This window comes from Homo sapiens, chromosome 17, assembly GCF_000001405.40.
Source record: "Homo sapiens chromosome 17, GRCh38.p14 Primary Assembly".
NCBI classification, from domain to species: Eukaryota; Metazoa; Chordata; class Mammalia; order Primates; family Hominidae; genus Homo; species Homo sapiens.
Window position 1 is genome coordinate 18,183,717 of NC_000017.11, and position 27,594 is coordinate 18,211,310.

Genomic DNA, 27,594 nt, shown 5'->3' on the forward strand with positions numbered 1-27,594 from the left:
AGCGGTTCCTGTCTGCGCTTGCGCCGGCGCCTCTGCCGACCCGGCCTGCACGCACGCGCATGCCCGTAGCGCGCGGAGCCGCGGTGGCCGGCAGCACTGCGCGTGCGCGGTGAGGAGCCCGCTAAGGAGCGGCGCTGGCGGACGTCGGGCTGGCTGCCCGTGACGTCGTGCGGAGAGCTTTAAAGTGCGGGCCGGGCCGGGCGTCCGAGGGTCTGGTCGGGAGTCGGGCCGCGTCTCCGCAGCAGCCCTCCGCGGCATGAGGCGCTGCCGGCGCCCCTGCCCCGCGGGACGTGGAGAAGGTGGAGGAGGAAGAAGCCCCGTTGTCGCCACCGTTGCATGACCCGCCGCTCCTGAGGCCCTACCCCACGCCCGGACCCTCGACGCCCCCCGCCGGGTCCCCCACTCACGCATGGGGGTTCGGCGCTAAGGACCCCCCTCCCTCCGGGGGCCCCGGGGCGCGTCCCCTTAGAGCCATGCCCGGCTGCCCCGCCCGCCCCGGAGGACCCTAGAGCAGCGTCGTGGGGGCCATGGCGGCCGCCAGCGGCTACACGGACCTGCGTGAGAAGCTCAAGTCCATGACGTCCCGGGACAACTATAAGGCGGGCAGCCGGGAGGCCGCCGCCGCTGCCGCAGCCGCCGTAGCCGCCGCAGCCGCAGCCGCCGCTGCCGCCGAACCTTACCCTGTGTCCGGGGCCAAGCGCAAGTATCAGGAGGACTCGGACCCCGAGCGCAGCGACTATGAGGAGCAGCAGCTGCAGAAGGAGGAGGAGGCGCGCAAGGTGAAGAGCGGCATCCGCCAGATGCGCCTCTTCAGCCAGGACGAGTGCGCCAAGATCGAGGCCCGCATTGACGAGGTGGTGTCCCGCGCTGAGAAGGGCCTGTACAACGAGCACACGGTGGACCGGGCCCCACTGCGCAACAAGTACTTCTTCGGCGAAGGCTACACTTACGGCGCCCAGCTGCAGAAGCGCGGGCCCGGCCAGGAGCGCCTCTACCCGCCGGGCGACGTGGACGAGATCCCCGAGTGGGTGCACCAGCTGGTGATCCAAAAGCTGGTGGAGCACCGCGTCATCCCCGAGGGCTTCGTCAACAGCGCCGTCATCAACGACTACCAGCCCGGCGGCTGCATCGTGTCTCACGTGGACCCCATCCACATCTTCGAGCGCCCCATCGTGTCCGTGTCCTTCTTTAGCGACTCTGCGCTGTGCTTCGGCTGCAAGTTCCAGTTCAAGCCTATTCGGGTGTCGGAACCAGTGCTTTCCCTGCCGGTGCGCAGGGGAAGCGTGACTGTGCTCAGGTAACCCACCCGGGTGGAGGGGGCGGCCCTGCGCCTGCTGCCTTAGCTACCCACCCTGGCCCAGAAAGCAGCAGCCCGTAGGAGTCTGCGTTTTTTACAGTTCTGACCAGTTCTTCTGTTTGTAGATTGTAGGGAGCGAGAGAAGGGTTTTGTGTTTAAGATACCTATAGCAAGAAAATAGGGAACCGATGTGGAAATCCTGTCCCCGAAGGCAGGTTTGACGGGATCACTGACTTGGCTGAGAATTCATCGAAAGCCATCTTTTCAGAAGGCTGTTCCCTTTGATTTTTTTTTTTCCCACCATCCATTTCTTAGCATAAGTCCCTTTGTGATTTTCCGGTTTTCCATTCTGGCCTTCCATTTACAAATCTATGCTTTAAAATTTTTTTTTTTTTTAATTTATCTAAAAGTCTTTCTTGTTCTGCCATTTTTGGATTCCTTAACAGAGAAAGTAGTCACAGGCAAAGGCCCCAGAGATTATTTAATTGAAGCACATTCTCCATTCCCAGGAGGGGGAGTGACTTCCCTGGAGTTGAACAGATTAGTGGTTGGGCCAGGCATACAGAGCAGCACACTCTTAAAATTCTTCCCTCCTGGCTGCAGAAGAGCCCATCAGTTCTTTGTAAGAACGTGTTACTTGTAGTCAGGACTGAATACAACAGAATACAGCTGGTCTCTTGACTGTTTGGCCTTACAGTTGCGTGAGCAGCAGAACTTAGGCTTTTGGCCTATATTCGGTTCCCAGATCCTGCTGAGAATTAGCTCAGTGCCCTGGCCCCCAGAGGAGATTGCCATTGGGAACACCTTTGCTGTTTATGTGAAGTGAAAATTTATTTGGAAGCGGCCTCCTTCCAGTCCTGAAAAAGGTAAACCTAGTAATGTAATTCAGTAATACCCAAAACATCTTAGGTTTAGACCGCAGCTGTTCTCAGAGCAGCTTGGTTGACCACCACCAAATACAAGGTTGAGGACACACTGGGCTTTTGTCGTGAGCAGCCCAGGTTCTGAAGTGAGTCAGTAGGGCCAAAGTCATGAGGAGAAGCAGGGTCCCTGGAGCCTTCTTGATATGAGATTAGGTCATCTGTTTCATTTGAGTCTAACAGCTGAGGCTGCTTCCATGTTGGGGATGGCAGCAGAGCCTTGTAATGTCCAAGACGTCCTGGTGGGAAGGTGGGAAGTCAGTAGTAGCAGAAGCGATACTTTAGCTCTTTAGGCATCTGAAACTTAGAGGACAGCCTAGCTGTCAGATGCCTTCTTATAATGGGCTTCTGAGCTTCTCAGATCTTCATGGCGCTCCTAGATGGATGTCTTGGCAAAATGCTTTAAGATGGGATTTCCAGGACACACCCTCTCCGGGTGCTTGCTGTGTAAGGCAGGTTGGGGTCTGACCCCATTGACGGGTTCTCAGTGCAAAAATTACCTCACACAAGGACCATTTGGTCTCTTAGCGGGATATTAATTTTCTGCGTAGTCATTGGCCCTCAGGGTGGTTGTCAGGAGGTCTAGTAGTGGTCTGGTGCTTAATGAGGGGATCACAAGGCATTTTTTTTTGGTTTTGGGACTACTACTCTCCTTAACACATGCCCACCCTGTATTTTAAGAACAGAAGTTTCGAGTTCTTAGTATGCAGGTCTGTTAGTGATCAGCAACAGGATTGCATCATCAGGAAAATTCTCTTCATCTTTTCCTCAGAATAGTAAAGTCCTAAAGCTTTCCCAGTCCCTGTCAACCCTTTCTGGATTCAGACTTGGCTGTGGTGTTAGTGTGGGAGGCTCAGCCATGTCCTGAAAAGTGCTGCCCCAGGCTTTGAATCCAGCTTTTCTCTCATTTGCTTTGGGATCTTGTAGGCGTTCTCTGAGCTGGCTTTCCCATCTGTAAGTGGGGATGATGCCAACTTCCAAAGCCTATTAGAATTAAATGTGGTGATTTGTTGTCTAAGATAGGGCCTGGCACAGGGTAGGTACTTAAATGGGTGCTTGCTTTCATATACAACCACTCAGTGATCCCCTGCTCTCTCACTGGGGAAGGAACTAGGGATTTGGTGGAGCCTGAAACATGACAGTTTCCCTTCGTGTAGTTCAAGCCCCATGGAGGCCTCAGACAGGAGGATAAGTTATAGCCCAGGAAGGTAACTGCAGAAGCACACTGAAGGGGGACATCTTTTCCACTTTGGAGTGTTGGAAGTTTAGGGGAGGAAATGAACTGGAATGTGAAAAGTGACTAGGAATGAGCCAAGCAGAGAAAGGTGGAGAAATACACAACAGCAGTGTCTTTGGCTGCAGTAGCAGGAGTAGCCATAGGTAAGAGGGGGTGGATGTTGATGGGAGGCAGATGGAGTTCATTAGTAGAGACTGTGGTTGAGGGTGCTCTGGTGAACTCTAGATCAGGGCTTCTCAACAGTGCTATTGTTATTCAGGGCTTGATAATGCTTCATTGTTGAGGCTGTTCGTGCATTGTAGACTGTTCAGCAGCATTCCTGGCTTCTATCTGCTAGGTGCCAATAGTGTTTTTTATGACAACCAGAAAGTGTCCAGACACTGCCAAATGCCGAGGCAGGGGAAGTGCAGAATCCTTAGTTGAGAGTCACTGCTCTAGGGTCTGGACCCTTCCACTAATTAAATCTTCTTGCACCTGCATACTTAGCTTACCTTGGTATGCAGGTGGGTGAACACCTGCCTATTAGTAGTGCCCGTCGTCAAATCCTGCATATAAACTGGTAAGAAGTGGTGCTTTCTCTTTTCCTGGTACAGATCCTAGCCCAGAGGTGATGAGCAGTAAAGCTGCAGATTGGAAGGGAGGGGCTGGTGAAAACAGTGGTGCGGTGCAGATGGGGAGGGATTCTAGTAGTAGGCATCTTAGACTTCAGTTGGTGTTGGTGGCAATGGTATCTGTACCCCTCTAAGACCGCATGGCAAGAATACAATTTTATATTTAATAGTGATCAGCATGGATGTTGGTGCGTCACAAACATTGACTCAGCAGTGTCTAAACCTGGGCATTTAGAACAAGGCCTCACAGAATCTTCTGGAAGTGCTTCAAACTCCTTTCCAAACCTAGTCGTCAGTTGTTTTTTGTAACCTTCCCATGTTAGGCCTGGGTGGATCCCCTCTTAAGGCTGTACTTTAGGGAAATATTTTTTATCTTCATATCACTTTATCTGTCATTCATTCTCCTATTCCCTGTTGGCTGCATGGGGCAGATTAAAACAGACTCTGATTGGACTAATTAGAATAATTACTTCAAGGCTAATTGCTTACTTGCTGCTATCTTTAATCACTGCTACGTGGTCTGTGGTGTGGTGGCCACATGCCCAGAGACCCAGGCCTAGGCCAGCCGTCTGGAAATGACTGTATCACCCAGGCACGGGGCATGCACTGGTGAGCTCAGCCTGTGACTCTTCCAGTTAACGGTTGGTATTGGGTGGAGTGGGCACCCCTGTCAGTTCTGGGATAGTCTGATCTTGTTCAGCTGGTTGAAAGCAAAATTTAGCTTTCTGGCTTAAAATAGTTGGGAAAGTAGGGCAGATAGGTCCTGGGCCACATCTCTTGTGTGGACTCTTCTGATTCCACTGGAGGGGGAGGAACCACAGGATGAAGTCAGGGCTGTGCACCGTCAGGAGGAGCTCTGGGCCAGGGGGGTTGGCTGCCCTTGCTGCTGCCAGAGCCTGACAAGGCAGAGGGCAGTAAAAGAAAGGAAGCTAACAGTGAACCATGGTGTTAATCATGAAGCTCAGAGCAAGCAGAGAATAAATAGGCCATAAAAATTTCAGAGCTGGCCAGGCTTAGTGGCTCATGCCTGTAATGCCAGAACTTTGGGTGGCCAAGGTGGACGGATCATGAGGTCAGGAGTTTGAGACCAACCTGGCCAACATGGTAAAACCCCATCTCTACTAAAAATACAAAAACTAGCCGGGCATGGTAGTGTGCACCTCTAATCCCAGCTACTCAGGAGGCTGAGGCAGGAGAATCACTTGAACCCGGGAGGCGGAGGTTGCAATGAGCCGAGATCGAGCCCTTGCGCTCCAGCCTGTGCTGTAGAGTGAGACTCCGTCTCAAAAAAAATAATAAAAAAAAAAATTTCAAGGCCGGGCGCGGTGGCTCACGCCTGTAATCCCAGCACTTTGGGAGGCCGAGGTGGGTGGATCACGAGGTCAGGACATCGAGACCATCCTGGCTAGCATGGTGAAACCCTGTCTCTACTAAAAATACAAAAAACAAAATTAGCTGGGTGTGGTGGCGGGCGCCTGTAGTCCCAGCTACTTGGGATGCTGAGGCGGCAGAATGGCACGAACCCGGGAGGCGGAGCTTGCAGTGAACCGAGATCATGCCACTGAACTCCAGCCTGGCAGCCTGGGCGACAGAGCAAGACTCCGTCTCAAAAAAAAGAAAAAGAAAATTCAGAGCTGGCTGGCCAGTTGGTGGATAGCCTTCACTGATACAGTGCTAGCTCTCTGGGGGATATAGGTTCATCTCTGCAAATCTCTTTCATGGGGCTAGTGGGTGTACGTGTGCCCTTTGGTGAGGCCAGCAAGGCCCCCTGGACAGGCTTGCTACCAGGAAACACAGATGGGCTTTTCTTCCTACCGCCTCCACAACAAAATCCAGAAAGTTTGACAGCAGACTTGGTTGGAGTTACAGCACCACCATTTTAACTCGTTGACTTCGGGGAAATTAAGCTTTTTGAGGCCTCAGTTTTCCTCATCTGCAAAACCAGTCTAATGATGCTATAGAGTTGTTATAGAAAGTTGAATCTTTGTCATCTATTGAATGCTTGAAATTTAGCTAAAAGTGTCTCAGGAGATGGGCTACCTTCTGTGTTTAGTACTGTCTATCTTGGTGTGTACAGAATTGGGACTTGGCAGGTTGACCTTCCCTCTGGATTCAGAAAGCCCCAGGACTTCTTATAAAGTTAGGCCATGGGTCGTCTTGGAGGCTTGGGTCTGGTAAATAATTGAGCCTGAGCTCACAATCCTGCCCCTGGGTCCAGGTGGCTGGTCTGCTGCCCCCAAAAGCCTGACCTTCTTGGTCCTGTGGGTCTGTCAGTAAGGCAGGTAGCCATAGCTGGAGAGAGACAGTCACCAGGCTGGGATCTTGGACAGTCCCTCCATCTCTGGTTCATCCTGGCCTAGGCAGGGCATGGAGTAGATGGAAAATGGTGGCCATCTTGGAAATGTGTCATAACAACTCAGTTTCCAAGACCGTCCCCTAGAGGAGAGATGTACAGTCCTGCATAGTTTCTTTAAAGAATTTTTCAGGGCCAGGTGCGGTGGCTCATGCCTGTAATCCCAGCACTTTGGGAGGCCAGGGCGGGTGGATCACCTGAGGTCAGGAATTCAAGACAAGAATGGCCAAGATGGTGAAAGCCCGTCTCTACTAAAAATACAAAAATTAGCCGGGCGTGGTGGCAGGCACCTGTAATCCCAGCTACTCGGGAGGCTGAGGCAGAGAATTGCTTGAACCCAGGAGCTAGAGGTTGCAGTGAGCCAAGATTGCGCCACTGCATTCCAGCCTAGGCAACAGAGTGGGACTCTGTTTCCGAAAAAAAAAAAAAAAAAAAAAATTTCAGACACCTCATTTAATTTGCACCTAATCTTCTGAGGAGGGGCTTGCTGTGATCTTTGTTTTGCAGAGGCAGAAACAGGTTCTAAGTGGTAGAATAGTTCAGCTCAACACACATTTCATTTAGTGTCCACTGTGCAGGGATGAGTAAGGCCTTTGAAGAGCTTTGTCTTGAAGGGAAGACACAATTTCCACAAGGCCAGATGGAATAGCAAAGAGGCATGAGAGGGTGTGGTTGAGCAATGTAGGGGGAACCCAGCCTGGGCAGTCAGGGAAAGGCCCCCAAAAGAGGAGATAGACATGTCAGCTCCTTCGAGAGTCACTCTGAGGTATAGGACTAGTGGGTGACATTTGCAACATATACTGGTCAGTGCCTCTGGGGCTGGGGCTGGGGGCTCAGCCCAGAGAGGGAGCAGGCAAGCCAGATGGCATAAGGTTATTTCCTCTTCTCCTTTCCCTGTGAAAACAAAAAAGCAGGAGGTCCTGGAACTTTTCATGCCAGCAGTAGGGCTGGACCCAAGGGCATATTAAGTTGCAAGCTGGCCGACTGAGACTTTCAGACAATTTATTTTGTAGCAAGTAGGTTCCTTAATAGTAAATAATACCCTGTGGTCTCTGCTCGACATTTTGTGAGATTGGCCAGGAGAGCTTCCCTTAATCAGGACTTTGAGCTCATGTTGCCAGAGCAGCCGGATATTCTGAGGAAAGGGTCAGTGGGCTGTGTCATAGCTGCTAGGAAGTTCTAGAAGACCAGTACTAATAAGCCTTCCAGGTTGGGTCAGTGCCAAAGTCATTTTTGTGGGCCTGTGCAGCCCTACCTCCATACTAGTTCTTCCAAGGCCTGGGCTCCGTGGCAGGAACCTGACATGGCTTATTGTTTGTTCTAGAGCCCTTTGGGGGATGGGGTCAGGGAGCATGCGGGCAGTCAAGCTTTGACAAACATCTGGATTTGCTCCAGAACTGCATTAAGAAAAGTGGTTCCTTGTTGGAGATGGGAAGTCAGGGCCCTTGGTTATGCATATAGCCAAGTCAAACAGATTGATAACACTTGTCAATGGCAGGGAAGGTTGCCTGTAGCCAGCACTGCAGATTCAGGACTTAGAAACGTGCCTCTGGGGCCGAGCATGGTGGCTCACACTTGTAATCCCAGCACTTTGGGAGGCCGAGGTGGGTGGATCACGTGTGATCAGGAGATCGAGACCAGCCTGGCCAACATGGGGAAACAGTCTTCACTAAACATACAAAAATTAGCCTGTAGTCCCAGTTACTTGGGGGTCTGAGGCAGGAGAATTGCTTGAACCTGGGACGTGGAGGTTACAGTGAGCCAAGATCATGCCACTGCACTCCAGCCTGGGCAACAGAGTGAGACTCTGTCTTTAAAAAAAAAAAAAAGTGCCTTTGAGACCTTTGACAGCTCTTTGGGAAAGTATTGTGTGTCTATATGGGACAGTCTTGCAGTCTAGACCCCCATTCCCCCAGTGTGGAATGATAAAAGCATGGGATGAGAACTAGAGTTCCTAGCTCTGGAAATGGGGCCCAGGCGGCCCCCACTACTGGCAGATCCCTGCAGGGGGAGCCCAGACCATGTCTCTTTGGCAGATGCTGAATCCAGGGCTCTGGCTTGCCCCAGGATAGTCCAGGGCCCTCTGACTTTTGTCAGAGTGCTTAGTAAAGATTGTAGGGTGTCAGGCACCCTGCATTATCTGACTTAATTCTCGCAATACCCCTGCAGGTAGGCCTCTCACCACCCCTTTCCAGGAGTGTCAACCAAGTAGTCATATAATGCTGTTTTTCTGCCTGGAAGGGAGGAGGCCCCGTTTTTAAAATCTTGTAATCTTAAAAACTTTAATCTTGTAATCTTTAAAACTGTCCCCATTTTTAAAATCTTGTAATATTAGTAGCAGCAAAAGAATAGCTAAATTATAAAGCATAACAAAATGAATACCCAAGAACCTACTGTTCTCCTTATTACAGATGAAGAAACTGTACAGGTTTTTAGGTTCAGCATGTGATTTAACAAAGGTCACAAAGCTAGTAGGAGACAAAGCTCACATTTGAACCCAGGTCTCTTCAACTCACTAACTCCTGTGTGGTACTTCTCACTGTGGGCTGATGGGTATTAATAGGTATTATGAGAGAAGGTTCTTTGGTAAGTGCTCAAAGTCAGTGGGTTCTTTTGCTGTAGTAATTCTCATGTGCTTTAAATATATTAATGCTTTTTGAAACTCTAATCAGTATTTTACAAATTGATTTCACTGTAGACATTCGTCCACTGTCTTTTTCTTTTTTTTTTTTTTTTTTTTTTTGAGACGGAGTCTCACTCTGTCACCCAGGCTGGAGTGCAGTGGCACTATCTCGGCTCACGGCAACCTCCACCTCCCAGGTTCAGCGATTCTCCTGCCTCAGCCTCTGCGATAGCTGGAATTACAGGCACCTGCCATCATGCCTGGCTTATTTTTGTATTTTTGTAGAGACGGGGTTTCACCATGTCGGCCAGACTGGTTACGAACTCCTAACCTCAGGCAACATGCCCACCTTGGCCTCCCAAAGTGCTGGGTGGGATTACAGGCGTGAGCCACCGTGCCTAGCCTGTCTACTGTCTCTTATGGGACTGGTGTTCATGGAGAAAATTTTGAAAAATTCTTGTCTAGGAGCAGCTTGAGGGAGAAGGTGGATCTATAAAATAAAGGTTTGGGCCGGGCGCGGTGGCTCACACCTGTAATCCCAGCACTTTGGGAGGCCGAGGCTGGCGGATCACGAGGTCAGGAGTTCAAGACCATCCTGACCAACATAGTGAAACCCCATCTCTACTGAAAATAACAAAAATTAGACAGGCGTGGTGGGGTGCGCCTGTAGTCCCAGCTACTTGGGAGGCTGAGGCAGGAGAATCGCTTGAACCCGGTAGGCAGAGGTTGCAGTGAGCCGAGATTGTGCCACTGCACTCCAACCTGGGTGACAGAGTGAGACTGTCTCAAAAAAAAAAAAAATTAAATAAAATAAAGGTTTGTTCTATCCCCAGCATGAGCTCAAATCAGATTTCCAAATCAGAGGTGCTTCCTTAAGGCTGAGCCTGAAGCAGTCTGGCTTTTTATCTCTTGTTGGCTCTTGCATCCAGTTATTAGAGCTGAGGTTTGGCCAGCCTGGCCATCTTGAGGGGTCCTTCCCAGGCCTGCAGTGTTTTTAATAGTTAAGTTTGTGTCTGTACAACTAGCCTTTGAGAAGGGAGCTGATCAGCAGCCATGAGAGAAGGGTTTGTGGTACAGGGCCAGGTAGGGAAACTAAGCCATACTTGTCCTACTAGGCTTGTGGCTGAGTTTCTGGGTGTGTAGAACTGCTGCAGCTCAGTAGAGTAACTTGGAGTGGGAGTATCTTGTGGCTGCCATGCTTCCAGTGATAGCATGTGAGGGGTATAGGAAGCTCAGAGCTTGCTTCCAGAGTTTCAAATTGGAATGACGCTAGCTGAGAAGAGGACAGTCATCTACCCACATTAGTTGGTCTCTGAGCGGTTTTAAAAGTCATGTAACTTGTTGAAAATAAACAGATATCTGAGTATGATGGAAATCCTTTTTTTTTGGGCGGGGGGCAGGGGGTGGGGGTCAGTGGTGGGGACAGAGTCTCGCTCTGTTGCCCAGGTGCAGTGGGCGTGATCTTGGCTCACTGCAACTTCTGCCTCCTAGGTTCAAGCGATTCTCCTGCCTCAGCCTCCCAAGTAGCTGGGATTACAGGCGCCCACCACCATGCCTGGCTAATTTTTGTATTTTTAGTAGAGATGGGGTTTCGCCATGTTGGCCAGGCTGGTCTCGAACTCCTGATTTCAGGTGATCCGCCCACCTCGGCCTCCCAAAGTGCTAGGATTACAGGCATGAGCCATCACGCCCAGCCGGAAATTCTTAAAATATTCAAACACAACTGTCTTCAAAATTTTGGATCCCCCCAAATGGAGACTTCATGTAGATATTCTATTTTGGAATGAGGCAGTCCTAGCTCTCCCTGGTGACTCAGTGCTATCAGTGGCTGCCTTGGCTTTCTCTACCTGCTAAATGGAGGGAGAATGAGGAGGAGCTACAGTGTACTCTCTGGAGTACCCTTTTAAAAAAGGGTTCCTGGCCTGTTCAGGGAGAGTCTTGCTTCCAGCCTCTGCCTTAAGTGGCCAAGGGGTCTCCTTTGTGTCATACCAGGTTTTTCCTTGAGTATTACAGTCTCTTGGCAAAAGCATCCTGGAACTTAATATGATATTCCCTTCCATGTAGATCCTTGAAACTCTCAAGTAATGGGTAGAGAGCAGCCGTAAGACCTAGGCCATGTTCCTGTCCTGTTATATCCCCCAGGAACTTTGGTTGTCTGTCTACTCTTCATGGTCACATGTTCTGTGTTTCTTTTCAGTGGATATGCTGCTGATGAAATCACTCACTGCATACGGCCTCAGGACATCAAGGAGCGCCGAGCAGTCATCATCCTCAGGAAGTAAGTGCCTTGATGTCTGACCTTCTGCCTCACCTGCAGGCCTGTCTGGAGATGTAGCTCTGGGTCCACTTAGAACTCAGCTCCTATGTATCAGTGGCATGGCAGAGTGGAGAGCAGAACTGTTAAGTTCTCTTTTTATTTGAATCCTGTGAGGATAAAGTTGTTTTGTTGTTTTATCAGAAAATTAAGTACTCTATTTAGGGAGTTTAGGACTGAGCAAAAGCATATACGCCCAATATTTGTGGGTATAATCTTGAGACAAGATTTGGGCAACATTCTTCCAAACCTCACCCCACCCCTTAGCCTCTATTCCTCACCTCCTTCGTTCTTATTTGTTACACGTACTCTTGGTGATTATTTTTAGACTGTGCCTTTAGCAGCCTGCTTTAAAAATGCCTGGGTTTTCACTGCTGGAAGGAACAGGGAGTGAAGAGAGGAGACAAGGGTGGGAGGTTAGGATGTAGTATTCGGCAGAATCATGGCTTGTGGCTCTTCTCTGGGGAGGGAATCAGGGATGTGCTACTTAACATCAACAAACCTGGCTTCACCAGCATTTATTTCTTTCACGGGGTGAGTGGAAGAAGCCATAGCCTCACAGACATTGGATCAAGACAAGCCTTGCCCCACTGTCCACCCATCTTGCTCAGGCTGGAATGCAGTGGTGCCATCATAGCTCACTGCATCCTCAAAGTCCTGGACTCAAGCTCTCTTCCTGCTTCAGCCTCCCCAGTAGCTGGGAATAGAGGCAAGTGCCACCATACCTGGTTCACGCCTACCTTTTGAATAGAGTCCCAGAGAAGATAGGTGATTGCCCAGAGTCATAGAAGTCAGTGAGCAGAGCAAAACAAGCACGTAAACTTAGGCTTGACCCATAAAACTTGCTGTCTGTCGTCTTCTTCCTTCCTTCCTTTTATTAAACTTTATTTTTTAGAATAGTTTTAGATTTACAGACAATTGTGATAGTACAGAGTTCTCATGTACTCTGCATCCCATTTCTCCTATTTGTTAATTTTTTATTGGTATGACTAAAGTCCATACTTTATTTAGATTTCCTTAGGTTTTTCCTAATGTCCTTTTTCTGTCCCAAGATCATCCTACGTTACATTTAGTTGACATATCAACTCAGACTCCTCTTAGACTCCTCTTGGCTGTAACAGTTTCTCAGACTTTGCCTTATTCTTTTTTTTTTTTTTTTGAGACAGGGTCTCACTCTGTCGCCTAGGCTGGAATAGGCGGGAATGCAGTGGCACCATCTCGGCTCACTGCAACCTCTGCGTCCCAGGTTCAAGTGATTTCGTGTCTCAGCCTCCTGAGTAGCTGGGACTATAGGCGTGTGCCACAACACCCAGCTAACTTTATTTTTTCGTACAGATGGGGTTTCCCCCATGTTGGCCAAGCTGGTCTCTAACTTCCAACCTCAAGTGGTTCACCTGCCTTGGCCTCCCAAAGTGCTGGGATTACAGGTGTGAGCCACCATGCCCAGCCTGCCTTATTCTTGATGATATTGACTGGTTAGGTATTGTATAGAAAATCTCTCAATTAGAATTTGTCTGATGTTTTTATGGTAAAGTGTATGCCATTTTTACTACATAACCAAGAATATATACTATCAATGTAACTTAACACTATTGATATTGATCATCTGGCCAATGCACTGTCAGGTTTTCCACTGTAAAATTACTGTTTTTCCTTGTCCATACTGTACCCTTAGGAAGGAAGTCACCATGCATGCCCACAGTTAAAGAGTGTGGGAGTTAGCACCATCTCCTTGAGGGGGAGCATGCAGGTGAATTACTTAGAATTCTTCTGCAGGGGGGATTGGTCTACTCTCCTTCATTTATTCAATCATTTATTTATATAAGTATATTTTTTATGTAAGTATGGACTCCTAGGAATTTATTTTATGCTCAAATTCTTCCAGCTTTGGTCATTGGGAATTTTTTCTGGTGCATCAACTTTAGTCAGTAAACAATAACTTTGGCATCCTGGTCCTTTGGGCCCATAACTCCAGAATATTGTAGTGGTGAAGTCTCTTTGGTATGGCTTTGCCACTTTGCCAAGTCAAAACTTTTAGTCTGTTTTAACTATAGTAGATGGGTATGATCCATATCTGTGGGACAGTCCTATGGTACAGGCAGAGCAGTGAACACGTGGGAGCTCCAGAAACTTGGGTCAACTTGGTGGGGTTGGCAGCCTCTCTTTTCTAGCCTAAGACTGTTCCCAGAATTTGTCAGAGGAAGGGAAGAGTTTTTATCTGCCTTGTACTTTATTTTTCTGTGATAACCAGCATAGGCAAGAACTCGGAAACAATGGAGTCCAGAGTGTAGCACTCTTCCAGCCTCTCCTCCAGTCATTTCTTCTCAGGCTGTACCTGGTACCTCCAACTGCAGCCAGGGATGGGTGGCCTGCCCAGGCCAGGAACCTGGAGAGGAACTTCTAATGTTACATAGAACCAGAGCAGTAACTTCCCAAGAGTTCCTCTCATCTTCCCATAATAGCTTATTTTGGGGAAATCTTAGTTGGATGTGCAGGTGGTAGTGGCCATAGCTGGAGTGTCAGTCTTCCAGCTGCTACTCTTTTATTGAATGGTGACTCCCATACCTGGCCGCCCAGTCCAACTGAGTCAGATGCTCCTCAGCACAGCTAGGAGTCTGCACCGTTAATCAGCTCCCTGGGAAGCTTTTCAGCCAGCTAGGTCCCTGCCAGTGGCCTGACCTTGGGAATGGCTGTTACTGGGTGACTGAAGCTCTTCTACCTTCTGACTTCAGTGGGCCCAGGAACCATTCACAGACTGGGCTGGAGTGCAGAAGCACAGAGCTGTGGTGTAAGGGGACTGGAGAAGAGTGGGAGGATGTCCCAGCTTCCCCAGGTAGCTGAGCTGGGGAAGTGCACAGCTGTGGGGAACTCTAAAGTATCTGCAGCTCCTGTTATGGTTTATGGATTTGTGCCTGGGCTCTTGTGGCAATGTGGCCTCCATTGGGCATACCTTCTCATCTAACATGTTCATCCTCTGATTCATATCCCAACTCCCCAAATAAACCTACATGATAACCAACTCCTCAGATAACCTAGTCATTCTTCATCGTTCAGATTGACCATTTTGACATGCAGAAAGCATCATATAAAAAGCCCTTTAGCTTTTTAGCATCACCTAAAGCCCTTTCAGCACACATGCAGACACATACACACACCCCTGTTTGGACTGTCACAGCTCATACGCTTGCCATTGTGAATTTTCAAATCTGCATTCTGTAGGAGTAAGGAGATCCCTGTTCATCTGGGGCCTAGCATGAGGTGCAGCCCAGAGGAGGCATCAACTAGTGTGGAGAACAATTCAGGCCGGTGAGGAGCAGCTCCAGAGTAGCTACATGGGTTTGTCTTGGGAAAGGACGGGTTGTGACAAGTTTAAAAAGGGGAGCATCTTGGCCCAGGCATTGCCCGGAGATAAGTATGATGTGGCCTTGGAAGATACCTGGCTGGTTTGATGTCTTCTGGTGAGGTTGTGTTACAGTGGGTAGAATCTGGGCATTGAGCCTGGCCCTGATTATGGTAGAGGAGTTAGAGCCGGTCCTGCCTTCTCATAAGTTCAGATAAAGATTGCACAGGCTGCTGGTGGAGACCCTGGGAGCTCTGTCACCAGCTCAGGTCAGTCAGAGCTGGAAAGGTCTTTCTAAGGGCCTCACGGAAGGAAATGGGTGGGCAGCTGCCAAGTGCTTTCTGGTTGGACAGAACGCAGCTTCTGTGAACATGGGTGGTGCCAAGTCTTCATGCACATGTGCCCTTGTTTCTTACGGGGAGGCTGGAAGTAACCTTTTAAAAAAGTCTCCCCAGAGTGGAATCCTCAGACTGTCCCTTGGTGTTATAATGTTTGGGGTCACAACTTAGCCAGTAAATGGCTGAGTGACACCTGGAACCTGGGTCTTGTGGTTCGTTGGTGGTTTGCACAGTGGAGTACCCCAAGTCCTGCCCTTTCCCCCAGTGTGTCGTTGGGATGGATGCTTTGAGTTAGGAAACTGGAGCTCAGATATAGAAGGGCTTTCTTGCCTCTGCTGTGCAAGTAGAGAGTTGTGCTGATTGGGGAGAATGTTATGAGTATGTAGGGGGCACTCTACAGAGAGTGGGGTGAGGCAGCAGCTACAGGCTAGTCGGCTCTTTGAGGTGCCTCAGCACCCCCAAACTTCCCTGAATGTTACTGTCTCCCAGCCGACCGAGGGCAAGCTGCCGCAGCATGCAAGTCTTTTCTCTGTAATCGTTGGTAACCCTGGAAGGGGAGGCTGGACCTAACCTTACTGGAGGTGTGGTTAAAGTTCTAAATTACTAGTTAGATAACCAAGAGGCTGACAAACTTCTGGGGTATAATAATTCATCTGTGAGGGGAGTCTTCCAGTTTTCCCATGATTCCCTAGTGCTCCTGCACTAGTGCACTCTGTGCTTCTGCTCCTGGTAGGCCTTGCTAGCTGCCCTGTGCCAAGCATCCACATATTAACCTTGAAACTAGAAGGTATGAACTCTGTTTGGAAAGGGGCTCAGGTAGGAAGTGAGCTGCCTCAGGTCATTGCTAGTTGGAATGGCCTTTGAGCAGGGATTTCTGACTTGAGGGAAACATCAAGTATCTACTATGTACAAGGCACTTGAGGTGGGCACCGCAGGAAATTTAGTGCCCCCTTGGTGCTTCACATGTAATAAGTTTGCACTTTGCCTGCCATTCCAACACAAAGCAGAGTGAACACTGGTGTAAAAGCACAGGGTATTCTCTGGGAGCCCTGCAAAAAAAACCCCAAAAACCCAGGCCGGTCGTGGTGGCTCACACCTGTAATCCAGCACTTCAGGAGGGCGAGGCAGTTGGATCACCTGAGGTCAGGAGTTCAAGACTAGCCTGACTAACGTGATGAAAATTCTAAAAATACAAGAATTAGCTGGGCATAGTGGCAGGTGTCTGTGATCCCAGCTACTGGGGAGGCTGAGGCAGGACAACTGCTTGAACCTGGGAGGCGGAGGTTGCAGTGAGCCGAGATTGTACCATTGCACTCCAGCCTGGGAGACAGAGCGAGACTCCATCTCAAAAAAAAAAAAAAAATTTTTTTTTTTTTTAAATTACATCCAGCTTTGCGGGAGGAAGGGTAAAGGTGAGCTTGGTAGATCTGGCCCCTGAGCTAGAAATTGCTGGCCAGGCAGAAATGGTAAGCTCAAAGGCTAGGAGGCAGGGAAATATAGGGGACTTCTGTAGATGAGGAATGAAAGAGGGAAGGAGGCCTTAGGTCAACATTTGATTCTCAAGAGATGGCTTATGGGTCTTCGGGGCCTTGAGTTGGTGACTAGGGCACCCAATCCCTTGGTTTTTAGGAGGCCCTCAGGATTGCACTGTGAGACTTGTATTCTTGAGATTGGTACTCTCCAGTTAACCAGATAAAGTGGCACAAAGCAGTATATATAGCCCATTTATTTGCTTTTGGTCAAGTGGAACTCAGCTCAGAGTGGTCTGAAGCTGGGAAATGCAGCTGGAGATCCCTTTGCCAAGTGGTAACCTAAGCTGGTGTGTGCTAGGCTCTGTGCTAGTACCCGGAATGGGGTTTGTATGGGTTCCTATTCTCTTTTGTCCTTTGGGAAAAGGCAGACATTTAGCATCTCAACAGGAACTGGTCAAAGAAGGCTTTCCAGATAAGTGCCACCTGAAGGTAGTCAAGGATGCTTGGACCTTAGCCAGCATAGAATGAGGCTCAGGGGCAAAGATAGTTCAGTCAGAAGAGATGCTCTTTACAGAGGCTTGGAGTCCAGGAACTCTGTTCTGGAACACAGAATAGATAAGGAGTGGAGGACTTGATACACCGGCCTAAGACAGCAAAAGCTTCACGCTGTGCAGAGAAATGTTAAGCGCGCTGGGGAGCCGTGGAGGCATGTGAGCAGTGGGGTGAGGGATTTGCATGTGAGAGATTGTAGGAAGCGAAGCTCAATAGCTTACTTGGTCATTAGATCCACAGAGTTCGAGGAGTCAGGAGACCTTCCATGAGAGCAGAGCAATCTGAATGTGAGGCTGAGTGGATGGATGAGCAGTGGAAGGAAGTGGAGGTCTCATTCTGGACCTCGTTCCTCAGCAGTGGGGTGAGGGGTGGCTAGCTCTTAGTTTCTCTGACCAGGGCTTGGTGTTGCTCCTTTCTCCATGATTTGTGTCTCCTGTGGTTAGATTTAGCTTACATTTGTTCCCTGGTTCAGTAAGTCTGTGTCCACGTGCATACACCCTGCCCTTTTGGCAGCCTGACTGTTCTGATGTGTCTGTGGCCTGCCCAAGGAATATGGGTACAATGGGATCACCAGGAAGGTGACAAACTTGGGCTTCTGCCCTGGCTCTGCCACTCCTCTCCAAATGCAGTCTTATCTGCACCTGTAAATTGGGCAGTTGTGGTTAAACTTGTGAATGCTAGGTGGTCTTCTAAACTCTTCCTGGCTGGGTGCGGTGGCTCGCACTTGTAATCCCAGCACTTTGGGAAGCCGAGGTGGGCGGATTGCCTGAGCGCGGGAGTTTGAGACCACCCTGGGCAACATGGTGAAACCCCATCTCTACTAAAATACAAAAAATTAGCCGGGCGTGGTAGCATGCATCTGTAGTCCCAGCTACTTGGGAGAATCGCTTGAGCATGGGAGGCAGAGGTTGCAGTGAGCCAAGATTGCACCACTGCACTCCAGCTTGGGCTACAGGGTGAGACTCCATCTTAGATAGATAGATAGATAGATAGATAGATAGATAGATAGATAGGATAGATAAGATAGATAGATAGATAGATAGATAGATAGATAGATAGATAGATGATAGATAGATTGATTGATTGATTTAAAAAACCAGGTGTGGTGGCATATACCTATAGTCCGAGCTACTCGCGAGCCTGAGGCAGGAGGATTGCTTGAGCCCAGGAGGTCAAGGCTGCAGTGAGCTGTAATCCCACCCGTGCACTCCAGGCTGGGTGATAGACCTTGTTTCAAAGAAAGTAATTAATTGGCCGGGTGCGGTGGTTCACGCCTGTAATTCCAGCACTTTGGGAGGCTGAGGCGGGCGGATCGTGAGGTCAGGAGATCGAGACCATCCTGGCTAACACGGTGAAACCCCGTCTCTACTAAAAATACAAAAAAAATCAGCCGGGCATGGTGGCAGGCGCCTGTCGTTGCAGCTACTTGGAGGCTGAGGCAGGAGAATGGCATGAACCCAGGAGGCGGAGGTTGCAGTGAGCCGAGATCGCACCACAGCACCCCAACCTGGGCGACAGAGCGAGACTCCGACTCAAAACAAAAAACAAAAAACAAAAAAAAACAGAAGTCTGATGTTGGCAGGGGGCTGGTGGAAGATGGGTGGGGAGAGTCCCGTGAGGGGAGTGGGTACTACTGCAGGAGAGCCAGCAAGGTACAGACCTGAGCTTTGTGGGAGTCTGATTCTCAAAGGTGCTGGAGCTTAGACCTTAGCTCTAGGGACCCAGGTTACTAAATAGGCAAGAGGGTGCTTGGACAGGCCCACAATACTGGTCTCTGCCTCGCTTTGTTGGAAAGCCAAGCTTTTAGCACAAGGATGCCTGGTAAAGGTGGTGCCAGACGTTGGAGAGTAGTTGGTAGCTGGCTGGGGACTGCCCTCGCTCCAGAGTCATCGTGGCCTGAGTGCGGTCTGGTTTACCATCTTCCCAGAAATGGTGGTGCTGCCACCTGCATGCACAGTGTTCTCTTGCACTGAGGAGGGCCCACCTGCACTTTATTTTTTAATTAAAAAAAAAAAATTAGGGCCGGGCACGATGGCTCACGCCTGTAATTCCAGCACTTCGGGAGGCTGAGGCAGGCGGATCATGAGGTCAAGAGATCAAGACCATCCTGGCCAACATGGTGAAACCCTGTCCCTACTAAAAATACAAAAATTAGCTGGGCATGGTGGCGTGCACCTGTAGTCCCAGCTACTCATGAGGCTGAGGCAGGAGAATTGCCTGAACCTGGGAGGTGGAGGTGCAGTGAACCAAGATCGTGCCACTGCACTCCAGCCTGGAGACAGAGCAAGATTGTCTTTTAAAAAAAAAAAAAAAAAAAAGAGTTTAAATAGGGACAAGGTCTTACTTTGTTGCCCAGGTTGGTCTGAAACTCCTGGCTTTTAAGTAATCCTTCTACCTTGGCCTCCCAAAGTGCTGGGATTACAGGTGTGAGCCACTGTGCCTGGCCCCACCTGTGCTTTAGAGGCCATCACAGAGTAGTAGGTAGTAGCTTTGTGACTCAAGCTAGTGATTTGCTCTGGGATTTAGCTTTGCTCTCCAGTCCCTACAGGGAGAATAATTCACCCCAGCAGCTTCTCTGGAGGACCTAGGATAGGATCAACTCCCTCCCTTCCCTTCGGTTCACACTTTAGTGCTACAGCCATCCTTTGTTGTGACCTCCCTTGTCCCTGCTTTGTCCTGACACGGTAGGTGGCCGCTCTGGGTATCACGGTCAACCTCACATGCCCGAGGTCACATGCCCGAGGTGCTTTGCTCTGACCTTTGAATACTGACTCATCTGTAAGGCAGGTCTTCATTCCTGTTGCCACCTGAGGAGGCCTGGGTCCAGACCTTACTGCTAGAACTGAGCCTCCTGAATCCAGATTTGTGACTCTCTGCTAAACCCTGAGGACCTGGCCTACGCCATGAGAGTTGGTTGCCTTTTAACAGGGGCATGTTCTGAAGTTAAGCTACTGGTGGGCACTGGGCTTGGAGTCAAGCTCTAGCCTGGCATCCTGCAGCTTGGTGAATTTTTGGAAGTGTAGGGAGGGCAGGAGCTTCTCCAGCTGTTATGAGATGTACTTATAACAGTCCCAGGGGATGTGTCAAGAGCTCTCATCTTGGTGGCTCTGCTTTTCTCCTACCATCCATCATTCACCCGAAGAAACAACTCCAGAGTGCCCCCACTAGGGCTTCACTGGGGCTTTTGGGGCACACAGGGGCCTTCCTTCCCTGAACATGGGCTCCCTGGCACCTATAGAGTCTTAGCTTTATGGGTACCAGAGGAGGGACTTTCTTCAATGAGGCCCTTAGAGTCCTTTAAGTCAAGTATAAAGGCTAACATTTTATTTAGTCTGATTTCTGCCACCTGGACCTCTCAACTTGATGACACGAAGCCTGGTAAAGAAAAGGTCATTGGGCCAGGCGTGGTGGCTCACGCCTTTAATTTCAGCACTTTGGGAAGCCAGGACGGGCAGATCACCTGAGGTCGGGAGTTCAAGACCAGCCTGACCAACATGGAGAAACCCCATCTCTACTAAAAATACAAAAGTAGCCAGGCGTTGGGGTGCATGCCTGTAATCCTAGCAATTCGGGAGGCTGAGGCAGAAGAGTTGCTTGAACGCGGGAGGCGGAGGTTGCAGTGAGCCAAGATCGTGCCAGTGCACTCCACCCTGGACAACAAGAGTAAAACTCTCTTAAAAAAAAAAAAAAATAGAAAAGGTAATTGGGCCAGGTGTGGTGGCTCAGGCCCATAATCCTAGCAGTTTGGGAGGCTGAGATGGGCAGATCGCTTGAGCCCCAGTGTTTGAGACCAGTCTGGCTAACATGGTGAAATGCTGTCTCTACTGAAAATATAAAAATTAGCCGAGTGTGGCAGCGGGTACCTATAATCTCAGCTGCTTGGGAGGTTGAGGTGGGAGGATCGCTTGAAGTTGCAATGAGCCAAGATCCCGCCACTGCACTCCAGCCTGGGCGACAGAAGGAGCCCCTGTCTCAAAAAATAATAATAAAAATAAAAAGCTCATCTGGAGCCGGGCTTGATGGCTCATACCTGTAATCTCAACACTTTGGGAGGCTGAGGTGGGAGGATCACTTAGAAGAGTTAGAGACCAGCCTAGGCAAAATGGTGGTACCCTGTCTCGCCAAAAAAAAACCATTAGCCGGGCATGGTGGCCCAGTCCTAGCTTCTTGGGAGGCTTGGGCAGGAGGATCCCTTAAGCCTAGGAGTTCAAGGCTGCAGTGAGTTATGATCATACCACTGCCCTCCAGACTGGGCGACAGAGCAAAACACGATCTCTCTTTAAAAAAAAAAGAATGGTTCTATTCTATTTCACATACTCATCTCTGGTAGTTGCCCAGTACCACCTCTACCCAGAGAATCCCAGCCTTGAAGGAGGCAACTTGCCTTCGATTCCTTAGACCCTCAGCGCAAAGAAGCCTTAGAGCTAGTCACATTTCTTTCTTTTGCTCAGATGGGGAAACTGAGGCCCGAGGAGGGATGGTGACTAGCTTGGACTCTGAATGGCAGTGCCAAAACTAGATCATCCTCCTGTTGATGTTAGGTTCTGCATCCATGAGTCTGGAGGAGTCCAGAGTGGAGTCTGAGACTGAAGAGTCACTCACTGCAGCTGGGCCCTACTGGCATCCCCCTCTGCAAGGCCAACCCAAAGGGATGGGGATGCCTGTCCTACCTGCCTACCCACCAGTTTGGGCCTGAGGCATCAGAACATTGGTTCCCAGCTGGAAGGAAGGAGATGCCCCTGCTGCCTTTAGGAGAGAGATTTCCTACCCACGTTCAGAGTAACTCTTGCCTGTCAGGCTTGAAGTCTCACTTTGGCTTTAAACTTTCCCCCGTGACTTGCAGGATGCATGACTTACTGCCTTTCTGATCCTTCCCATCTATGTACAGTAGGCCAGCCAGTGGAATGTGGAGAGGCAGCCATGGGGAATGGGGGAAACTGAGGACCAGATGCAGTTGTTACCAAGGATGCCAAGCAGCCTAGCCCAAGGCAGTTCTTGGATTTCCCTCCTGCTTACTTCTCCCCAGCATCCTCTAGTATCCTTAGAGTCCTGCTCTGACTGCAGCCCCTACTCCTTCGGAACTAAGTTACTACTTTGTGTCTAGCAGACCCTGGAAAAGGTGCCTTCAGGGTCTCTGCTAGCTATGTCCTATCGCTTCCCACCCAGTCTATTACATGGGTCCTTCTGCCCTTTGCTCCCACCTGCCTGACTTGCCAGCCTTCTCTGTACCACACAAGGAGCCTGAGGGCTTTGAGGTTTTCCATGCCAGCTCCCTTCTGTTCTGGCTTCATAAAGGACTTGGATCACTGCCCTGAGTTACCGCTACCCAGCTTCTCCATCCCCCTCTTCCTCATCTGTATTTGTGTGCCTTCCCTTTACTAGGCAGTGTATTCCTTGAAACCTATGGCTACACCTGCTGCTTGGTGGGGACTGTGCCTTCAAAAGCCCTCTGGCCTTTACCTTGTCAGCATCCTGAAATGAGCAGAAACTGCCAGATGACTGCTCATGGTTGTGGAGTGGGCCTGGGTTCCCTACCCTGGCTCTGCCACTCAGTCTCAGCATCCCTGTCTGCACAGTGAGAAGATAGGGTAGCTCTGGCTCTCTTTCTCTCCAGCCCCTCTACAGGCCTGGACCAGGGATCCTTCCTGTGTTGGGACCCACCAGTGGGGCCGTTGGTCCTCTGGCAAATGAAGTAGATGGCCCCAGAGAACCTGTGGGTCCAAGTGGAGTGAGGTGAGGCTGCTTGGTTCAGCTAAGAGCGAGCCCTGGGATCTTGCCCCTAGGGTAGCACAGCCTGTCATTGGGAGTTTCCAGACAGAAGTGTTCCCATTCCTTACTCCTAAAGGTGGACTTGAGGAGGGTCTTTGAAAGTCAGCTAGACCAATCTCTAGTTGAACCTCAAGGAGAGTGAGGTACAGAGCAGAGACTGCTGGCTTCCAGGTCTAGCTGGCTCCCACTTGGCCTGGCCAGAGAATTGGTCTGATGGTGCCCACACCTTCACCGGAGGCCCTTTGGTGACCCCATGCATGTTTCCTTTGCAGGACAAGATTAGATGCACCCCGGTTGGAAACAAAGTCCCTGAGCAGCTCCGTGTTACCACCCAGCTATGCTTCAGATCGCCTGTCAGGAAACAACAGGGACCCTGCTCTGAAACCCAAGCGGTCCCACCGCAAGGCAGACCCTGATGCTGCCCACAGGTACTCAGTTTAGGACCCTCAGCAAAGGCTGGCAAAGGCCTGGCTGCAGGGTGAGAAGGGTGGAGAAGCCTGGGGTAGGCTGTTTAGGAGCCTTGGCTTGCTCACCCTTTCAAAACCTTATGTCTGGTTCCTCTGGGTTGGTGGCATTGGTGACATTCCCATCTAACCCTGGCCAACTGCCTGTACACCCAGAGAGAAGGGGTCAGGCAGAGACTGTAACAGATGGCAATATCATGGCTTTCCCATGACTTTCCTTGTTCAGTCTCACCCAGACACCCTTGTGGAATTATACTTAGATGTCAGGAGGGAATCTTGGGACTTGGATAATAGTGAACCAGGGACTTATTTCAAAAAGGATTGGATAAAAGGTATTTGAGGAGATAATTTTTTTTAAAGGAAAAAAAATGTTTTGGCCGGCACAGTGGCTCACGCCTGTAATCCCAGCACTTTGGGAGGCCAAGGCAGGCAGATCACGAGGTCAGGTGATCGAGACCATCCTGGCTAAGACGGTGAAACCCCGTCTCTACTAAAAAATACAAAAAATTAGCCAGGCGTGGTGGCAGGTACCTGTAGTCCCAGCTCCTCGGGAGGCTGAGGCAGGAGAATGGCGTGAACCTGGGAGGCGGAGCTGGCAGTGACCCGAGATGGCACCGCTGCACTCCAGCCTGTGCGACAGAGCAAGAATCCGTCTCAAAAAAAAAAAAAATATTTTTTAAGTGTTGGGGAAGGTTTCCAAGGAGGTAATGTTTAAGTTGATTCCAGAAGGATAAGGAAGACATGGAAGAGCATTCTAGGCAGGAAATACTGTATGAGCTAAACCCTGAGATACAAAAGAGCTTTGTGGTTTCAGGGGGTAATGGGGTTAGTAAGTGGAGAAGGGGGTGTTGGGAGGCCCAAGAGAGAGAAAGTGGGTAGAGCTGGGAAGTAAAGGTAGATGGCAGAACCATGCAGAGTCTTGAGGCTGTGGTAGGGAAGACCTCTGTCCAGCAGCCCTGGCAGTGTCCCAGGGCACCAGACTCCAAGCCAGGCAGACCCCACAGGGTAATTGGGAAATGTCCCAAAGACTGGGATGGTCACTGGCACTTAGTGGGCAAGAACCTCCGATACCAGGGCCTCTGCCAGGACTACCCTTCGTTGAGGACCACTGAGCTGAAGTGACCCATCCCAAGGATGAGACGAGGTACAGCGGTAAAGCCAGGCGCCTCCTGCCAGCCTCTCAGATAACGTCCTACCTCCCTTTCCTTGCAGGCCACGGATCCTGGAGATGGACAAGGAAGAGAACCGGCGCTCGGTGCTGCTGCCCACACACCGGCGGAGGGGTAGCTTCAGCTCTGAGAACTACTGGCGCAAGTCATACGAGTCCTCAGAGGACTGCTCTGAGGCAGCAGGCAGCCCTGCCCGAAAGGTGAAGATGCGGCGGCACTGAGTCTACCCGCCGCCCTCCTGGGAACTCTGGCTCATCCTTACGTAGTTGCCCCTCCTTTTGTTTTGAGGGTTTTGTTTTTGTTCATTGGGGGGTTTTTGTTTTTTGTTTTTTGTTTTTTTTGATTCTATATATTTTTCCTTGGTTTTGTTGCCTGTTAGGGCTGAAGAATAGAATTGGCCAGGACCTAGGTTCTCATATTCTTGGTATTCCTCCTGGATGGAAAGGCTGTTGGCATCAATAGGGGACAGAGGCTGATGCTGGAGTGGCCAGTAGAGGTGGTGGAGCAGAGCAGCCATCTTTTAAGTGGGGCTGTATCAGGCTGGGTTTATTTAAAAGCAACAAAATGTTTTGGTTAAGAAAATTATTTTGCTTTCAGTGTAAATCTTCGCAGTGTTCTAAACAAAGTTCAGTCTTCTGCTCGCCCCTTTCCCTCACTGATGTCTGCACTTGGTTGAGGTCTCCTGGAGCCTCACAGGCTCTGCTGTTCTCCACTTCTCACCTGCCATCCACGCCCTGCAAGCTCATGCAAACACCCTTTCTTCCTCCTGCGGCAGAGTTGTTCAGGTTGCCTGGGCAGGGGCTTAAACAGTGCCAGCCCCTGCCATCCCAAAGCTATTGTTAAGCCCCCCAGGCGTCCTCCACCCACGCCCACTAGCCTGCCATGTCCACAGTTCCTTGGGCTGCTGAGGGGCTAGTGCAGTGGTCCTGACCTCTCTTATCAAGAGCACACTTCTTTGCTGGTTGCTCCTTTTGAGCATATGCGTGTGATTATTTGGAACAGTTAGACTTGCCACGTTGGGTCAGTTTTAGAAATTGTTTCTAGCTAGAGGGACTGGTGTCCTTCCAAGTCTAGCATTTGGGGTATGGAAAATTGTTGTGGTGTGTGGTAGGGTTTTTGTTTTCTTTTTTGAGTTTTTTTTCCCCCTTTAGTCTCCTGGCTTTTTCCTTTCCCTTCCCTTCTCCACTGGCCAGCTTGGGCCTCATCCTCATGTCATCCTTCTAGGAAGGCGCCTGCCCCATCTTGTCTGCCGGCAGCATGCATCCAAGGCCAGAGCTCAGGCCTGCAGACTGGGCTGGTGCCTCCTCCGCTTCAGGGTATGGGAGTTGGTGAAGGGGCTTTCAAAAAATAATAAGGAAAAAAAGGTAAAGTCTTTGGTAGCTTCTATCCACTCAGATCCTGGAAGGCAGCAAGGTTTTGTGGATCTAGATTCATTAGGAATGTCTTCTTGTCAGCCAGGCCAGGACCCGGGCTTGCCAAGAGCAGAGGCCCTCCCAGCAACCAGGATACCACCACTTTGGGGGCTTTGTGTACAGAGGTCCGGGTCTGAGACCTCATAGGCTGCAGAAATCTGGGGCAGCCACCATCAAGAAGCCCCTCTCAGGGGCCAGAACTCCTTTGCCAGCGTGGATTTCTCAAGTCGGGACTGCATAATTAAAGCAGTTGCAGTTTTATTTTTTTTACAGCTTTTTTCCCAAAAATGATTTGTAGTTGTGTGTGCAGCACTTCGCCCTGATATGTGTGCTCTACAATAAAAACCAAATCTAATATATTTTGAAACAGTTGTCTGATGTTGTTGTAAGAGAGGGCTTGCCTTTGGTGCTTCCTTAATCCCTTTACTTTCTTAAACTTGAAACAGGGGTTGGGGAGGCAGAGCTAGCTCATTGGCCGCCAGCGTCCCAGAGGAGTTGGTTGGTCTTGGACACTGGGCCTCCTGTGTGCCTAGCCTTGGGTTTATGGCTGAAGGTGGACTTGCCCTCACCCCACTGTCCTTTCTCCCACTCCAAGGAGGGTGAACTTCATAAACCACAATGTCCAGGTGCCCAGGGACCACACCTTCTGGAGTTCTGGAAGTCCCTCTTTTAGATATGATCACTGAGAGGCTGGTGCTGGTGAAGGGGGAGATGGCAGGCACAAAAGCAAGGGAGAACCTGGCTTTTGTGGAAAATATGCGAGTGATTTTGCTCATTAAACAAATACTTGGCCAGGCACGGTGGATCACCTGAGCTCAGGAGTTCAAGACCAGCATGGGCAACTTGGCAAAACCCCATCTCTACTAAAAATACAAAAATTTAGCCAGGTGCGTTTAGCTGTGGTCTCAGCTACTAGTGAGACTGAGACAGACAAGAATTGCTTGAGCCTGGGAGGCACAGGTTGCAGTAAGCCGAGATTGTGCCATTGCACTCCAACCTGGGCAACAGAGCAAGACCTTGTCTCAAAAAAACAAAAAAAAAAATTCTTGAGTTCCTATTGTATACCAAGCCACACTGGGACCCCAATAGTGAGCAAAACTCTGGTCCCTCCTTTCAAGATGCTCATGATAGTGTGGAGTGCAGGTACTGGCATGAAGCAGATGTTTTTCAATGGGTAAGGCTGGGGCCCAGAGGGCTTTAGTCCCTCCAGACTTCAGACCTGGCTCCCTATGCCTGGTAAAGGGCTTCTATCTAGAGTCTCTTACTCTGTTCTAGTGCTCAGAGCTAGTCTGCTTGGCCAAATTCTTGCTGTGGAAACTTGGATAAGCTGCTTACCTCCACATTTACCAGAGAAGAGAGACTCCAGAGTGGGGCAAGTAACTGGCCCAGGCTTGGTCTAAAAACTAGTGCGAGGGTCTGAAGAGAGAGGGGCCAGAGTCTCAAGTGTGGTCTGGGGCTAGTTGGGCCTGGAGGGGTAGACACTGGGCTAGGCAGAGTGGACCTTGGATCCCCTGGAGAAGGAAACACCGGATCTGAGAGAAAGTGACTTGCAGAATGTCATCCAGAGTATAAATGGCAGAAGTAAGCATCCCCCACTCCATGCCTGAGCTTCTGACTCTTGGGGCATGGGATAGGGGCTCAGAGAAGGGCTGGGGGAGTGCGAGGAACCGTCTTTGTGGAGGACCCTATTTTCCATTGCCATTAAAAAGTCAGACTTCTGGCC

The 27,594-nt window shown here is 50.0% G+C and overlaps 1 protein-coding gene across 1 annotated transcript, besides 6 other annotated features; it reads left to right on the forward strand.

Moving 5' to 3' along the window:
- Positions 107-944: an enhancer, noted in NCBI's record as "H3K27ac-H3K4me1 hESC enhancer chr17:18087137-18087974 (GRCh37/hg19 assembly coordinates)". NCBI's record gives its function as "activates a minimal SCP1, AML or CMV promoter by ChIP-STARR-seq in naive H9 embryonic stem cells {active_cell/tissue: H9 hESC(naive)}" and the evidence as "EXISTENCE:reporter gene assay evidence [ECO:0000049][PMID:30033119]".
- Positions 107-989: a biological region, named in NCBI's record as "H3K27ac-H3K4me1 hESC enhancer GRCh37_chr17:18087137-18087974".
- ALKBH5 (alkB homolog 5, RNA demethylase) lies at positions 112-26,238 on the forward strand. The gene is made up of 4 exons (NM_017758.4): positions 112-1,297; positions 11,239-11,319; positions 23,099-23,254; positions 24,503-26,238. Exons 1-4 carry the CDS (start codon positions 528-530, stop codon positions 24,678-24,680), a joined length of 1,185 nt encoding a protein of 394 aa, NP_060228.3. The 5' UTR covers positions 112-527; the 3' UTR covers positions 24,681-26,238.
- Positions 210-509: a silencer, noted in NCBI's record as "silent region_8267". NCBI's record gives its function as "represses an Ori minimal core promoter by ATAC-STARR-seq in GM12878 lymphoblastoid cells {active_cell/tissue: GM12878}" and the evidence as "EXISTENCE:reporter gene assay evidence [ECO:0000049][PMID:35858748]".
- Positions 590-679: a silencer, noted in NCBI's record as "silent region_8268". NCBI's record gives its function as "represses an Ori minimal core promoter by ATAC-STARR-seq in GM12878 lymphoblastoid cells {active_cell/tissue: GM12878}" and the evidence as "EXISTENCE:reporter gene assay evidence [ECO:0000049][PMID:35858748]".
- Positions 838-989: a silencer, noted in NCBI's record as "fragment chr17:18087868-18088019 (GRCh37/hg19 assembly coordinates)". NCBI's record gives its function as "represses an EF-1alpha promoter that drives an FKBP-Casp9 reporter gene in an ReSE screen in HepG2 liver carcinoma cells {active_cell/tissue: HepG2}" and the evidence as "EXISTENCE:reporter gene assay evidence [ECO:0000049][PMID:32094911]".
- Positions 2,213-2,262: a silencer, noted in NCBI's record as "silent region_8269". NCBI's record gives its function as "represses an Ori minimal core promoter by ATAC-STARR-seq in GM12878 lymphoblastoid cells {active_cell/tissue: GM12878}" and the evidence as "EXISTENCE:reporter gene assay evidence [ECO:0000049][PMID:35858748]".
- Positions 26,239-27,594: the final 1,356 nt, after the last annotated feature.

Excerpts from the sequence above, each read along its gene's own strand:
- ALKBH5 (NM_017758.4), top strand. The coding sequence starts at position 528 with ATGGCGGCCGCCAGCGGCTACACGGACCTGCGTGAGAAGCTCAAGTCC. Across the intron at positions 1,298-11,238 it reads GGAAGCGTGACTGTGCTCAG|TGGATATGCTGCTGATGAAA; the intron begins GTAACCCACCCG and ends GTTTCTTTTCAG. Across the intron at positions 23,255-24,502 it reads GACCCTGATGCTGCCCACAG|GCCACGGATCCTGGAGATGG; the intron begins GTACTCAGTTTA and ends CTTTCCTTGCAG.